The 16,002-nt window shown below is 38.9% G+C and overlaps 1 protein-coding gene and 1 long non-coding RNA gene across 39 annotated transcripts in view; one reads left to right on the top strand and one right to left on the bottom strand.

Annotated features, from left to right (window-relative positions):
• PEX5L (peroxisomal biogenesis factor 5 like) overlaps positions 1 to 10,674 on the top strand; it is a 241,980-nt gene extending 231,306 nt beyond the window's left edge. For all 38 annotated transcript variants that reach the window (NR_146167.2, NM_001349404.2, NM_001349401.2 and 35 more), the window contains one exon: positions 3,600 to 10,674. Coding sequence is in view for 37 of the 38 variants with exons in the window: in NM_001349404.2 (NP_001336333.1) it covers positions 3,600 to 3,804 (205 nt within the window). In the remaining variant the exon portion in view is untranslated. The remainder of the gene's footprint in view (positions 1 to 3,599) is intronic.
• On the bottom strand, positions 9,736 to 15,281 carry LOC124909464 (uncharacterized). The gene is made up of 2 exons (XR_007096183.1): positions 13,008 to 15,281; positions 9,736 to 9,951 (listed from the first exon to the last, which is right to left on the bottom strand). It is a non-coding gene; the product is annotated as an uncharacterized LOC124909464 (long non-coding RNA).
• Positions 15,282 to 16,002: the final 721 nt, after the last annotated feature.

Here is a 16,002-nt window from a genome sequence, read left to right as displayed (position 1 = left end):
TGTACAATTGGCCCACCATATCCATGGGTTCCTCATCTGTGGGTTTAACCAACTGTGGATTGAATACATTTCTTAAAAAACACAACTTTTTAAAAAACAATATAGTATGACAAATACATAGCATTTACATTTTATTAGTTATAAGTAATCTGGAGATGATTTAAAGTATATGGGAGGTGTGTGCAGGCTATATGCAAATATTATGCTATTTTATACAAGGGACCTGAGCATTCTCAGATTTTGGTATTCTCAGGGGTTCATGAAACCAATCCCCCACGGATACCAAGGGATGTTTATCTGAAGTTCACATTTAACTATGCATTCTGTATTTTTATTTGCTAAATCTGGCAACACTACTCAGTTGGCTACTTTGGAACGTATCGACTAAGTTTTGTGGGTCTTTTATTGTCATGCCAGGTGGGGGAAATCTGAGAAGTGGTAAGAATTTTGTGCTTTTTCCTGAAAAAAAAAAAAAAAAAAAAAAAGACCATCGAGTGAGACGTAATTTTTTTTTTTGAGATGGAGGCTTCTGTCACCCAGGCTGGAGTGCAGTGGTGCAATCTCGGCTCACTGCAACTTCTGCCTCCCAGGTTCAAGCAATTCTCCTGCCTCAGCCTCCAGAATAGCGGGGATTACAGGCGCCCACCACCATGCCTGGCTAATTTTTGTATTTTTAGTAGACACAGGGTTTCACCAGGTTGGCCAGACTTGTCTCAAACTCCTGACCTCAAGTGATCTGCCTGCCTCAGCCTCCCAAAGTGCGGGGATTACAGGCATGAGCCACTACACCCGGCGAGAGAGAGACATAAATCTTAAATGAATTCTGAAAAGAAGTATAATTTGAGGTATAAGTGCATACTCAGGAAATAACAACCCTCAATAGAGAAAGAGCTCAAAAGGAAGCGAGGAGCTGGTTTAAGTACTTTCAACTTCACAAACGTCTTGGGACCGCTCCCTCAAGAACTGCAGGTGTCGGTGTATGTAGCTGTAACATTTGCTGCTTGTCATCACATTTTCCATAAAGAGTCAAAGGCAAACACTACCCTGGTACCATATACAATTAAAATAAGGAGAGGAAATTGTTGGTGTGAAACTTGGCTTTAGCTCTAAATGTTACACCTTTGTCAATAGAGCTCCAGACTACAGCTTAGACCAATGAGTCTTAACCTTTTCAAAAATGAGGACTCCTTTGGATGAAAATTTCATCCTGCTTGATAGTAATATTTTTAGTGTGAGTATAATGAGGGAAAGCTATAACGTGATGCTTTTAAATGAATGGGCTTTTTATTAATCATGACAATATACACAAACATTTAAAATTATTTATACATACATGTGTGAAACATTTGAAAACTATTCACACATATATATGTACAACCTTCTGAGTCCCCCAACAGGACTCTGAGTTCACAAGCAGGGGAGCAGGTTTAGACTATCTTTATGGGGGGACAATAAAAACTGGAGTCGTTTGATGAGGTAAGTTCGACTATTCTGTTTCTCTCCAAATCCCTCTGAAACCATTACCACACACTTGGAGCTGGAAGCACCCAGTGAATGAGAGGCTTTCAAGATCTTCCTTTCCCTCGAGTTCTTGCAGGTCTGGGTCTATGAGAGAAAACTGGGAGACATCAGTAGAGCTGCCATCCTGTGAAGTGGGGGCAAAAAGGTCTACTCAAGTAGGCTCCTTATGTCCATCCATTTATAAATCTCCCTCTCTTGCTTGATTACAAGAAACCCAGAAGAGGGGGTGATTAGAACACCTACTCCATTCCATTATCCAGATTGCTACATACACCATGACCATTTCTCACTTACCTTTTATTTTCAGGCAGATCTAACAATATAGATGAGCAAATCCCTGGATTATGTGCATTAGAATTAGAAATCCAGTCTCATTTTCAAAGTTTCTTACCAGATGCTTATTACCTACCTTGCAGGATTAAATGAGATCAAGGGTATGAAAAGTTTTTGAGAACAGTAAAGTGGATGCAAATTAAAGTGGCATGATTATTCTTCGGAAGGATCAGTGTGTCAGATATACTCAACAAGGTTGGGGTGAAATGGGGCTGCTGAAGAGGGCAGACCCAGCAGGTGCACCTGGCACCTGAGCAACAGAGTGGACTAGTGGGCTAGAGGAGCTAGAAGGACTTCAGACAGCATCTAACTCGGCTTGTCTCAGACTTGGTGTTCTCAGGACCCCTCTACACTTTTAATAATTATTGAGAACCTAAAAGGGCTTTTGTTTATGTGGGTTATATCTATCAATATTTACCGTATTGGAAATTAAACTGAAAACATTGTTAAAGATTCATTTAAAAAGAATAAAACTCACTACATGTTATCATAAATAATATTTTTTACAAAAAATATTTTCCAAAACACAAACAGTCTAGTGGGAAAAGTGACATTGTTTCACATTTTTGCAAGTTTGTTTCATATCTTGCTTACTAGAAGACACACTCTCACACCTGCTTCTGCAGTCAGTCTGTTGCGATATCATGCACCATGTAGTCTCTGGAAAATTCCACTGTAAGCATGTGAGAAAATGAAAGCAAAAAAATCAAATAACATATTAGCTTTATCATAAAAATAATTTTGACCTCATTGATTCCCAAGCTTCTCCAGACCACACTTTGAGGACTATTGATCTTACTCAGTGATAAGAGCTTTCATGTAGATTGATTCAACTGCACCTCACAAAGTTTTTAAATGCCTTTGATTATCCCTATTACACACTCAGGGAAAGTAATCCTTGGAAAAAAAAAAAACAAGAAATTTGCCTACTGCTAAATAACTGGGATTCAAGACAGGTGCCCAGTAATAAACTCAATCTACTCTAGCTGTGTTCCATACATCTAGCACTAATGGGAAAAATTAGACCACTTTGTTTTTAAGTAGGGCTATATTCTTCCTCTTAAACCTAGTTATAGAAATCAAATCTGCAAATGCATTAAGTGTTCAAATCATTCCTAGAGCAGAGGAAAATCGAATGCATTAATGAATTTGCATGGTTTTGCTATTATTCTTTCTCTCCCACGTGACATTCCTAAAATAAAATTTTCTTTTCTTTTCTTTTCTTTTTTTTTTTTTTTTTTTTTTGAGACAGTCTCACTCTGTTGCCCAGGCTGGAGGGCAGTGGTGTGATCTCGGCTCACTGCAACCTCTGTCTCCTGGGTTCAAGCCATTCTCCTGCCTCAGCCTCCCTAGTAGCTGGGATTACAGGGGCATGCCACTACACCTGGCTATTTTTTGTATTTTTAGTAGAGACAGGGTTTCACCATGTTGGCCAGGCTGATCTTGAACTCCTGACCTCAAGTGATCCACCTGCCTTGGCCTCCCAAAGTGCTGGGATTACAGGCTTGAGCCACCATGTCCAGCCTGCTTTTCTTTTTTCTTTCTGACCTCACTGTATTTAACAATGATTGCTCACTAAAGAATATAAGAGAATTAGAAAGTTGTTCATTTGATCATCCAGAACACGTAAGAGGTGATTTAAGATTTTAGATTAAAATCACTTAATCCAATTTTGTTTTGTTTTGTTTACATTTGCTAACTCTGAAATGTGACTCATTTTAAAATATGTTTTTCTACCTTCTTAGAGAAGCGGTCAGCAATTTTCTCACTGCCCTCAGTTTGCAAAGAAAGAGCAGGAATCAGCAGCAAGTTCCTCATCCTGCAATCTCTGGGAATATCTGGGCTGCCCTCAGAATTGCGCTCTCTCTGATGGACCAACCAGAACTCTTCCAGGCGGCTAATCTTGGTGACCTGGATGTCCTCTTAAGAGCTTTCAACTTGGATCCTTGAAGAAAGAATAATACCAGTACTAATAATCCCTGATCTGTGTGATTGTACTGAAAAATCAAAAACTATTTTATTATGAATTTCAAAAGGATAAATCAAATATTCAAAAGGCCATGGTCATATAGCCCAAGGAAATTAATTCCTGTGGACAATGCCCAGTCTCTGTTCAGATCCAAAAGCACAAAATGTTGTATATAGAGTCAAAGTCAGGCTCAAAAGAAGAATTAAGAGACTCAAGACAAACCAAGATAAAGTAACTGTGTGTTGAATACTCTTTCCACAAGTTGCAAGCATATTGCAACACATGTTCTTTGGGTTTTTTGTCTCCCCTTGCAGCTGATGACACATCTGAGGAACTTGTTCATGGGAAACATGGAAAAAGCACTGCCTCAGATTGGGAAATTCTGACTGTTTCTGAACTGTCTTCTTTTGCAAGACTGAACATAGTTTGGGCCATTGGTGCATGCACATATATTAACTTGTGACTAAAGACAGACATTGCTTAAACCTGTTCCAATTTTAACTTTTACTGTAGCCCTTTGATTCCAGAGAGGGAGCTTTGCTGGCAAAAGCAGTTTTTGCACTAGAAATTTTTGCTGTTCCCAATCTAAACTTTTCTGGTATTGTATATATGCACTTTAATATCTTATTTATGCCTTGCTGGAGTTTTGTTTTGTTGCTCCAATTTTTAACTTGGGGGTGAAAGATTTAAGAACTCAGCCTCACTAGATCAACGGACCAAATAAACAATTCCTGAAGACAGTTTTTCATAGTGTAGGATTTTGAAGAAGTGTTTTTCTTAAAGCAGATACGATGACATAAGGCGTAAATATGGCAAACAGATCTTTTCATTCACGTGCTTTCTGGGTCTGTATGAACATAAGTAAGACACAAGGTACTGTCTCTTCATGCATTCTCTGCAGGAAGAAAGTTTGATGGTATCGTGATTTCTATTGAGTTCAAATTAACTTGCTTAAGTGTCATACTTTACTGGCTTTGCCCTGCACACCAATATTCCTTTTAAACCATAAATATTTTAAATAATATTTCTTAAGAGTGATAAATAACATTTTTTCCTAAAAATTATGTTTTCTTAGTTTCATAATAATCTGCACTGTTCATCCCCTTGCATTCTAAGTGATAGAAGAGCAACACTTTCAAACCAAATCTCACTGAATGCCAGTGATTTCATATGAAAGATGCATGCCTCTTTGGCTCTTTGAACATTTAGCAAGTATTGGGAATTTTCTATTAGCAGTGGTGTTTTAATTGGTTGAATTCCACTTAGTTCTCCACAGTGTTTTGTATGTGTTTGGGGCTTGGTGATTATTTTGAAAGATACATTTTTTAAAGAATTAGGAACATTTTTTGCAAAATGCTAATCAGAATATAATTTTCCCAATGTCAGGTATAGAAGTTATCCCATTCTTCTTTACCTGGTCTCCTTCCTTCGTCTAGAACCTTCCCCACAGTAGCTAATCCTAACAACTTTTTATTTATGTTCTTTGATAATAATAGCTCATCCCGCTCATGATTATAGCTACCCACAAAAAATAAAACAACAACAACAAAAAAGACTCCACAGAATTGGGATCAAAACAGTCTAATTGGCTGGGGAATAAGCTTCTACTGAGGAGTAAATGTGCACACGTGCTTATCAATTGAATGCGAGGTACAGGAATAAAATCCTCTCCTCTGTTACATCTGAAGTCCTTGGGTTGTGAGAGGGCCTCAAGTTAACAGAAACCACAAGTCCTTGAGGCTTACATATGTTATAACCTATTCTAGTTTATAAAGACAAAAAGCTGAGGCCACTGTGAGGAGTGCCAGGTTTTGATAGTCATTGTCAAAGTTGACTTGGGCCAGGTGGTAGCTCCAGCTGGTCAGCAGAAGGCAGAGGCATTCAGGCACTCATCATGGGTAGCAGCGACCACCCAGTCTCAGACCGTGCTTCTCTACAGTCTCAGCAGCAAAGTAAAGCTCAACAATGCTTTCAAGAATGGTATTGTAAGAATTGTAGAATTCGAGAAACCCAGTCTGGTAAGGACTCTTGGGGCCAGCCTCCAAGCCATGGCAGGGCCTGCTTGAATATGCCTGATTAAGCATCCTTTCCTTCCCTGCTCCTTCCTCCTGCCATCTCTGTACCTTGACCAGAAAGTCGGCATGAATAGTTCATGGACAAAGGATTGAATAGCCTCTGAACAAAGGATTCAAAGCAAACTTTGTAAGTGTTCTGTGATGCCATTCTATACTTTGAGCAGCAGCTGAATCTGCAGCCTGGATTTAAAGCCTGAAACTAGTATAAATGTCAAATAATTAATTTGTTGCTAAATGGTGGCAAATTTTGTGGCCCAAGTTTTATTTTGCTATTGGAACACAAACTCCAAGGAGCTGTTTTAGGGAAGACTAAACAATCTTCCATTCTTACCATTATTTGGCAATTTGCAGAGCATTTAGTAGTACTTTCTCTAGTGTATGTAGTATCTGTCAGATCTAAGATTTTTATAGGCTGTCAAGAAGTCCAGAATTACGGCCCAAGAGGAAAAGAGTTGCATTTTTCAATAATATTTTTTATAAAATTAAGTTAAAACCATTATTAAAACATGAGTGACAGGCCAGGTGCGGTGGCTCACGCCTGTAATCCTAGCACTTTGGGAGGCAGAGGCGGGCAGACCACGAGGTCAGGAGTTCGAGACCAGCCTGACCAACATGGTGAAACCCCGTCTTTATTAAGAATACAAAAATTAGCCGGGTGTAGTGGTATGCACCTGTAATACCAGCTACTCAGGAGGCTGAGGCAGGAGAATCACTTGAACCAGGGAGGCGGAGGTTGCAGTGAGCCGAGATTGCACCGCTGCACTCCAGTCTGGGTGACAGAGCGAGACTCCGTCTCAAAAAAAACAAAAAAGTGACAGTTTATAGGAATAGAGCACCACCAAGAAATCAGTAGCAAGACTTTAGAACAGTCTTTTTGTATAAATCATATACAGTAAATGTTTTGTTTCTTAGAAGTGCATCTACTTTATTTTTTGGCAGAACAATTTTTGGCATCTTATCTTCATGGCATGAAATTGTCATTTAAATTACTCTTTCCGTTTGAAAGGGGAGGGTATCCTTATTTCCCTTCTGAGGTACTCTGAGAAGGCTTTGAGTTTCCTTTTTCATGTATTAATGTATAACAGCCTAACAGCTCCTAGAAGAGGGTATTCTTACTAGAATGGCTACATACGGGTGACTTCAGTTACATACAGGTGACTTCCAGGGACTGACTTCGCCTGTAGATTGGATGAAAATAAAGAGAAAGCCAGTGATTATTGCTGAGTTTCAAAATATAACCATTTCTAGTAGGCTACTTCTACATGCTGTTGTACCTTCCTGGTGAGGAGGAGACAGAGGGATAGGGGAGAGGAGGAGGAATAAAAATCCCTCTCACTGGGCCAATCATACTGATTCATTCCCTTTACTTCCTCCAAAACTCACTCCCCATGACTCCTGAAAAATGGGTAGATCTCGTCCACCAGGAAATTTTAATAGAATACTATGCACCGTGCTTTCTCAGTCAATCTGGATTCCTACTAGAACAGAAAAGTAAGGAAACATAACTGGGTAGGAATGTCCACTTACGTTTCACAAACTCACTTTTAGAGTTTCATGCCACTTTCCTCATTCTTCTCTTTAAGATACTATTATATTGAACGTGGGACCCATGTCTAAATACTTGTATAGATAAATATTTCTTGTATATTCTTCCCATACAAGCAAGACTTGAATACAGTTGTAGCTAGTCCCACTTTTATAATAAAAGCTTCCAAACTCTTTATCATAAACTTTGTCTGTGAGCTTGGGAATACAGAGAAAGCAAGTTGATCATTCTGAGACCCTTCCTCATTTGCCCTGAATCAGTTCCCCAAGATTGGACTGTACTTTAAGCTAGTTGTTGTAGCAGTGGTGGTTGTTGTTTTATATCTTGAGATACTTCTAGAACATTCTAGAAACAGGGTATTCTAAAGGCTTACTTTATATGCCATCCTTTTTGAACCCTCTTATTTTAGAAATTATTACACGTGCACACTTATGATTTCAACCTTGTAAAATAATTTCAAATTCATTTCGTATCCACATTTTACTGCAGTTTCCCTATCATCATCTCAATAGTTATAGAACTGGTTGAAATTAAACTGTTTTGAACTAAGAAGTAGATATATATATATATATATATATATATTTTTTTTTTTTTTTTTAAAGAGTGTTCATAGATAAACTCTGGCATAAAGTTTGTAAAAAAGCAATTTTTTAAAAGCAAAACGTATAACCTCAGGTACAAAAATATTGCATGCATTAGTATTGCAAATTTGCCTACTCAAATATTAACCAAAGCATGCAAGATAACTTGACTGAATTTAAATTTACACAGTGCATGATTAAGTCTCATAGGTTAGCCTGTTGTTCCTTGCCTCTATACAAGGGAGCATTTTTATGAACTTTGTGTTACAGTTTTTCTATTTGCTTTTCTTATCCTATCCTTGAGATTGTTTTCATGCTATCACACTGAACTTTACAGATATTCACACATCTGGTTTCTACAGTGTTACCAGTGCCAAACTAATCCTCTGAAGAATCTGGGACATCTAAACACTTTTTCAAAAACCAGTTGAGGCACAACAGATCCCAAACTTAAACAAATCCAAGTGTCTGAATGCTACTAAACTAAATCATGTTGACTGCCTCAGCACATAAAGGTTTCGACTTTAAATTCTTAATAATGCATTTCAAAATTTTTCTAAAAGTTTGGGAATAAATTAGAAAAACTGATATTCTAAATAAGGCGAGGAGGTTGGGGTAATGTCAGGCACATCAAAATCATCACACAACGAAGTAGATATGGGGCCTTAATTTTCATAAATGTCACATAGCAAGTGTGTGGGGTATCACAACATTGTTCTGATACAGCCCTGTTTGTATGGTAGTTGAGCTGCTTGGGCTAAATGTCCCTTGAGAAACTGGACTTGATCAACAGGTCTAAAAACACTGATATTTAGGGAGTGATGAGGTGATTTCACGGTCACTCAGAACCAACTCTGAAATCTTCTCACTGCCTTTTCCCATAACCCCTATTTTATGAGGAGACCAGAAAGGGAGAGAGCAAAGCTCAGTGAGACCATGTGGTCTTACATTAGTAACAGCTTTGTTACTCACTCCATATACCCCGGTACCCTCACACACATACCATGAACTCAAAGACAGAATTCTACACATAACACACATAGCAAAGACGATTGTGGGGAGGCATTAAACAGTTAAGAGGAAAAAAAAAAACACAGAAAATTAAACTGTGAGGTTTAACAACCTCTCATGTGGTATTTTGCCTTGAACGAAGTTTCCACTACCTGCAGCTTCTGCAGAAATACCAAAATAACACAGTCTAGAGACAAGTGTCCCAATGTCAGAACTGTTTTCTCAGGACCTTCTCTATAAGAGAAAACTAACTTGCAATGCTGCAGAATGTCAGAGCAAAACCCTGATGAGCTCCGTGGGATACTTAATAGAAGCCTGCACTCAAAATAATATTAAGATGGAAACAACAACAACAATTAGGCAGTTCTTTGCTCAACTATAAAATGTGTATCATTCATTGGGGGAGGGGGAGGGGTCGTGTTCTTTGGATTTCTTGGAAAGGGAAATGGTATAACACAAAAAGACTAAGAGGTATACACACTCAGCTCGGTAATTCGAGCATTTGGCATTTTCACTGAGATATATAGCATTTCTGCATGGATACCATACAAGAATTCTGCCATGTGAGAAATGTGTTCATGATGGACTACATTACCAGTAGTTAAGGGAAATACAGCAAACTTAAGTTTTTACCAACTTCCTTTCATGTTCCCTATATATCATCTAACCCAAACTTTCAATTTACATTGCCCAAATTTGTTTACATTGGTTGAAAAAAAACTGATTAATTTATTAAACTTTTTACAAACTGTAACAAACATTTAACTATTTAGAAAAGACATTTCTACATATTTTATATATCTATGAATATTGCATCTCTAATCTAATCTAAAAATGTTGTTTTGAGACAATTCTTCTGTGATGCTTCCTCCTCATGCTCATAAATGTTTAAAGTCTTGGGATTTCATTTTCAGGCTGAAATAGATAACAAGAAAAAAATTTAAGTTTAAATGTTTACATTGCGTTACTAAATTAATACCAATTCAAATTAAGTGACCTATAGTAAATTAATGGCAATGGGGGGGAGGGGATTTTAAAGTGATTGGCATATTATGTGATACTGTATCAGTGATTTAGTGAAATAATATGTATCATAGCACAACTCTGTTGGGTATTAAGGCTTCATCTTAGTATTTCCCTGCGTTGCTCTTTGAAATAAAATTACTACCATAAAAATAACCTCTTATCATATTGATGTGTTTAATTTACTCAGTTGGCTTCTAATTTGCGTAACAAGATTAAGGTAGTATTTTTGTACTATTATTGGAAGCATGCCTTCCCTTTTTCACATTATTAAATTGTATTTATATTTGTGCAATTTTAAACTATGTTTTCAAATAAACTTTGTCTGCGGCTTCGAGGTCTTTTCAGGAATCTTTCAAAATGGGATTTGGGGATCAGAACTCCTTCTGATCAAATGGAATCCAATTTGTACTACTGGCTAAAGGTCCTTTTATTAAATATTGAATATCACTACATATGATTTTGCATGAGCTATCTGGAAATCAGGAATGCATTTTTGGATATAAAACAAAACTTTAAAAATCTTCCTCCTTTGTTAATTTTTTAAGACTAAAATATTATTTAACCTGAAATTGAATTTTGTGATTCTTTTTAGAATAAAAATATTAAAATAAATTTCAGTTTTAGGGTCTTTTGGTTTTCTGGTCAGTCAATAAATATTTAGATACAAATTATGTGCTGACACCATTCTGGGCGTAGGACACAGTAGTAAGTGAATGAAATCAAACTTGCCCTTGAAGAACTTAGATTTCTGTGAAAGGATGCCTACAAATACTTTAACAAATAAGAATGCCATGTGCTACAACGTACTAGAACAAGGCAAATAAGTTATTATGAGAATGAGTGGAGGGGCTCCTTTATCTGTAGGTGGTCAGATAAGTTTTCTCTTACATGACATTTGGACTGAGATTTGCTGACAGGTAGAGTTGGCACAACGCTACTGGCAGAGCCAATAGCTTGTGCAAGATCCCAAGGCAGCAATGAGCTTAGTGTGCATTCAGGAAGAAGGGGGGCTGGGGTGGTGAGGGCTGTGAGCTGCACGACCTTAGTAGACAGCCTGGCAGGTGGAAGATCATGGGAGGCCTTCCCAGAGCAGATTCAAGGGCAAATTTGCTCCACGCAAAGATGACGGTGTTCAGACTGAGGTTTCTGTTCTTCCAAACCATTTTCAAAATAAAGTCCTTGAGTCAGGTTGGCAGGGGAGGGAACTGCAGGCTAAGCGAAGAGAGCTATACAGCAAGAGACTGGAGCATCCCTTTCTCACTTGTCACTGTTCCATCTGTCAATCTGAGGCAGCCCCTGACCTTCATAAAATTCCATTTTTTCCCCTATAAAATCAAGGTGTACATATTTCTTTCCCGCTTCGCTGCTGCGCTATGTAAGATAAAAATCCAACTACGTAGTGATAAATTGAGGCTTCTCCCCCACTCCTTGAATATCTCAAGCCTATTTCATATCCCCTACTTCCACTTTTTAAATGTAAACTATATGAATTTCCTGAAATAGCTGCGTTCTCTCCATGTGTATATAAGAGAAACTGAAGGTTGAAGAGTTCTTTATATTCTTTACAAGTTTCCTTAAAGTAATATCTTAATGACCCAACACTTTAGGGCTCGTGAAGGACTTTTTTTTTTCTTTCTTACATCTATAATAAATAATGTTACCTGGTAATCATCTTAATGCATCAGAATTTGGGGAACTGACAGCTAATTTTAGTATTTTTCCCTGTGGAACTAACCTGCTGATCCTCAGTAGGCCCCATGCTTAAGGTTGCTTCCCTGAGCCATCTGGAAATGAAGCAACTGGAGTTCTTTGAAAGGGGGACACAGAAGCAGCTGATATTTACTGAAACTGTGGCAGATTCCTAGGCTCGACGTTTCTACTCTGCCATTTAACTCCAATGGATATTCTTGTCCCAAGTTTCTGCCTACTGCATATAATGAACATAAAAGCAAAAACTGTATATGGTGAAAAAAAAAATCACTCCTAGATTAAAAGTGGACTAAAGATCACATCTAATTCTACGAACTGTAAAAACTGACCCAGGAAAAAGTAGGCTTGAGAAAAATAACCAATATGATAGCTAACATTGCTCATGGTAAAGTCTGCTGTTGATTAAAAATTGACAAAAGGAGAAACTCTTCTTGACAAAATTTAGATTTGCAAAATTTCACTAGTAAAGCTGGACCTGGTGGAAATAATGGCTGCAAAAGGGAATCGGCAATAGCAGAAGTTTTCATAAGGAAAAATCAATAAGGCTTAAAATTAACTGATGACTCAAGATGGCCCTCCTAAAATTAACAGAATTGATACCAATTATACTAATTTCATTAAAATAGAAAAAAATTCAAAAGCTTGGAAATAGCTGAACTGGATAACTATTTCACACTTTCTCCTCTCTCCTCAAATCCCTAAATTCCCCCATCCTCGCTCTCAGCTGATGGATTTGCTTCCTATTTTGCTGAGAAAATAAAGCAGGCAAAAGAGAACTGTCAGACTCTCAGCAGTGTGTCTCCTCACCACCAGCAGCTGCACTCCTGGTCTCTGCCTTCCTCCTATTGCCATGGTCTTTCTATGTCCTTGCCTAAATCAGCTCCCCACTTTGGCACCAGATCCCATCACCTTTTCCCTGCTCAAGGACATCAGATCAGCTCAAGGACATCTTCCGTCTCTCTCTTACATCTTCAATATTTCTATTTCTATTTGACCATCTTATTTCTCACATTTAAAAACAAAAACCTTCTCTTGACCTCACCCCATTTCCCATCAGCCACCACTCCCATCTTTGCTTCCCATAGTAGTAAAACTCCTCAAAGAGTTGGCTGCATTCACTATCTGCAATTTCCCTCCTCCCATTCTCTCTTCAACCCACTCCTTTCACCGTGCTTCCAAAACCGTTCCCACAGAGATCACCCAGGACCTTGATTGTCAGTCCTCAGCTTACATACCCTATTAACGATTATTGGAAAGTTGATCACTCTCGCCTCAGTAAGACACCTCCTTCTCCTGGCTTCCACTCCAGGCACCATGCTCTTGGCTTTCCTCCACCTTGACGGTCACGCCTCTCAGTCTCCTTTGTTGGCTTGTCCTCTCCCTGACTTCTTAGGTGGAAATCCCCTAGGGTTCAGTCCCTGGACTTCTATTTCCTGTCTTCCTCCATTGGTGATTGTACCCAGTCCCATTGTTTCAAATAGCATCTAGATGCCAACAAGTCCCAAATTTCTATTTTTAGTCCAGAACTCTCTCCCAAAATCAGTTGGATATCCAGCTTCCTACTCAACATCAACCACGGAGTTCTAATAGGCGTTTCAAACTTAACACATCTTAAACTGGACTTCCGGTCATCTTTCTCCACCATTACCACCCCAATCCCACTAAGCCTTCCCTATCTTAGTTGATTGTAACTACACTCTTCAGTTCCTCAGGATAAAAACTTTGGGGTTAGCTTTAGCTACTCTCAATTCCCTCATACCCTACATCCTACGCATGAGGAAATCCTCAGGGTCTTACCTTTAAATGTATCGCAAATCTGACCATTCTCACTAGCTTCACTGCTCCTGCCCTGTTTGAGCCATCATCCTCCCACGTTGCTGACCACAGGAGCCCCAACCTTTATCCTTGCCTTCCTACCATCTAGTCTGAACAAAGAATTTATGAAACTTCAGTCAGATTGGGTCATTGCTCTGCACAAGGCCCTATAATAGCTTCCTATTGCACTTTGGAGTGCCCTTCCCAAAGCCTCCCAGGTCCAGGCAATCTGGCCCCTCTCTGACCTCCTCTCCCATTACTCTCCCCATCACTCCATTCTCTTGAGCCATACTCATCCTTTTGACGCTCCTCTGACATAGCAGACATGCCCCACTGTGGGGCCTTTGCACCAGCTAATTCCTCTGCCAAGCATATTCTTTCCCCAAATATCCCCTTGGATGAGTCCATTCACTTCCTTCAGGTCTTGGTTCAAATCTCACCTCCAGATGATTTGTTTCCTAAGTATGCTATTTATACTGCAATCTGCACCCTCACCTCTCTGGTGTGTTTTCTTTTTTCCATAGCACTTAATACCTCTTGTTATAGAATCTACTTATTTTTTATGTTTACTATCTGTCTCTCCTTGCCAAAAAATAAGACTCAACAAAGGCAGGAATATTGTCTTTATTTACAGATATCTTCTAAGAAAAAAATACATAGCACATAGTAGATGTTTACTATTTATTGAATGATGAGCCATACTATTTAAATTAACAAAATTAACTGACTTAACGAAATTATCTCCAGAAAAATACTCTTGGAAAAAAGTCATCAATGTTCGTATAATTCTGATATTTTAAAAAATCTTTTAGATTAAAACAAAGGGTCAAAACCTCCATAGAGTCAATGCTAAATGGGTGAAAATGTGACATAAAAATGCCCTGTGTTCACCAGATTGTCATATACTTTATGTAACTCACCTCAGTTATTATTATGCCTACTACACAGATGAAAAGACTGAATCTCAGGAAATTATGTGTTTACCAAAGTCACATAGCTAGTCTGTGTTGGAAACAGGATTTGACTTCAAGTCTGTATGCCTCCACTCTTGCAATTATACCACCCTACCTCCCTACCACACTGAAAGACTTTTCCTAGTTGATTTTTAAATGACTGGTTGCATGAGGGATGAGATGGCTCACTGTTTCCTATTAAATTTCCCACTACAACTGAAGTTTGTCACTGACAGCATTTGAAAAGCAGGACCAAAAATTCAACAGTGCATATTCACACTGGTAAAATCCCCCATTAGGCACGAAGAGATATAGCAAATGGAGGTGAGTTAGAAGGGGGCTTGCAAACATTGTCCCAAAAACTTCAGCATTCTCTGGTGGCAAATAATCCTTCACTATCCCAATCATTCCCTCACTGTTTTATTCCCCTCATCAAAACATAAGGCAGAACACTGAAGCTGGTCATTTACTTGGATTTTTAAAAATACATAGGTTCATTCTTCTAAAAAATTTGAGCATCGAATGGATTTTTAAGCACCGATTAACATATCCTATGTGGTAGGCAAAATAATACCTCAGCAAAGATGTCCACATGCTAATACCCAAAATCTGTGAATATGTTACTACTTTACATGGCAACAGCAACTTTCCAGGTGTGATTACGTTAAGGATCTTGAGAAGAATATTCTGGATTATCTGGGTGAGACCAATGTAATCACAAGGGTCTTTTTTTTTTTTTTTTTAAGTTGGAGTCTCACTCTGTTGCCCAGGCTGGAATGCAGTGGTGCTCTCTCAGCTCACTGCAGCCTCAGCCTCCCAGGTTCAAGTGATTCTCCTGCCTCAGCCTCCCAAGTAGCTGGGATTACAGGCATGCACCACCATGCCCAGCTAATTTTTATATTTTTAGTAGAGGCAGGGCTTTGCCATGTTGGCCAGGCTAGTCTTGAGCTCCTGGCCTCAAGTGAACCACCTGGCTTGGCCTCTCAAAGTGCTCGGATTACAGGTGTGAGCCACCATGCCTGGCCCACAAGGGTCTTTATAAGAGGGAAGTAAGTCAGCCAGGGGAGATGTGACAACGGAAGCAGGGGCTGCAGTGATGCCAATGCTGTGAGGAGACCGGGAGCCCAGGAAGGTGAGCAGACTCTAGAAGCTAGAAAAAGCAGGAATTGATTCTCCCTTACAGCTTCCCTACCAACACCTTGATTTTAGCCCTGTAAGACCATTTGCATAGTAATACATGTATTATTTTAAGCCACCGAGTTCATGATAATTTGTCACAGCAGCAAGAGAGAACTCATACGCCTTAGAGACACAGTGTCATCGAAATGCCTAAGTCTCTGGACATAGCGTGTGCCCACTCTGCTTTTATATGTGTTAAGGGGGCTGTCAGCAAACCAAGATCTAGGGAACAAGAGAAAGATCTGTGACATGACATCCAGCAGATAAAGTCCAAGGCAGGAGA

The sequence above is a fragment of the Homo sapiens genome, chromosome 3 (assembly GCF_000001405.40).
Source record: "Homo sapiens chromosome 3, GRCh38.p14 Primary Assembly".
NCBI classification, from domain to species: Eukaryota; Metazoa; Chordata; class Mammalia; order Primates; family Hominidae; genus Homo; species Homo sapiens.
The sequence above is the reverse complement of the archived record's forward strand: the minus strand, read 5'-3'. Positions and strand labels throughout refer to the sequence as shown.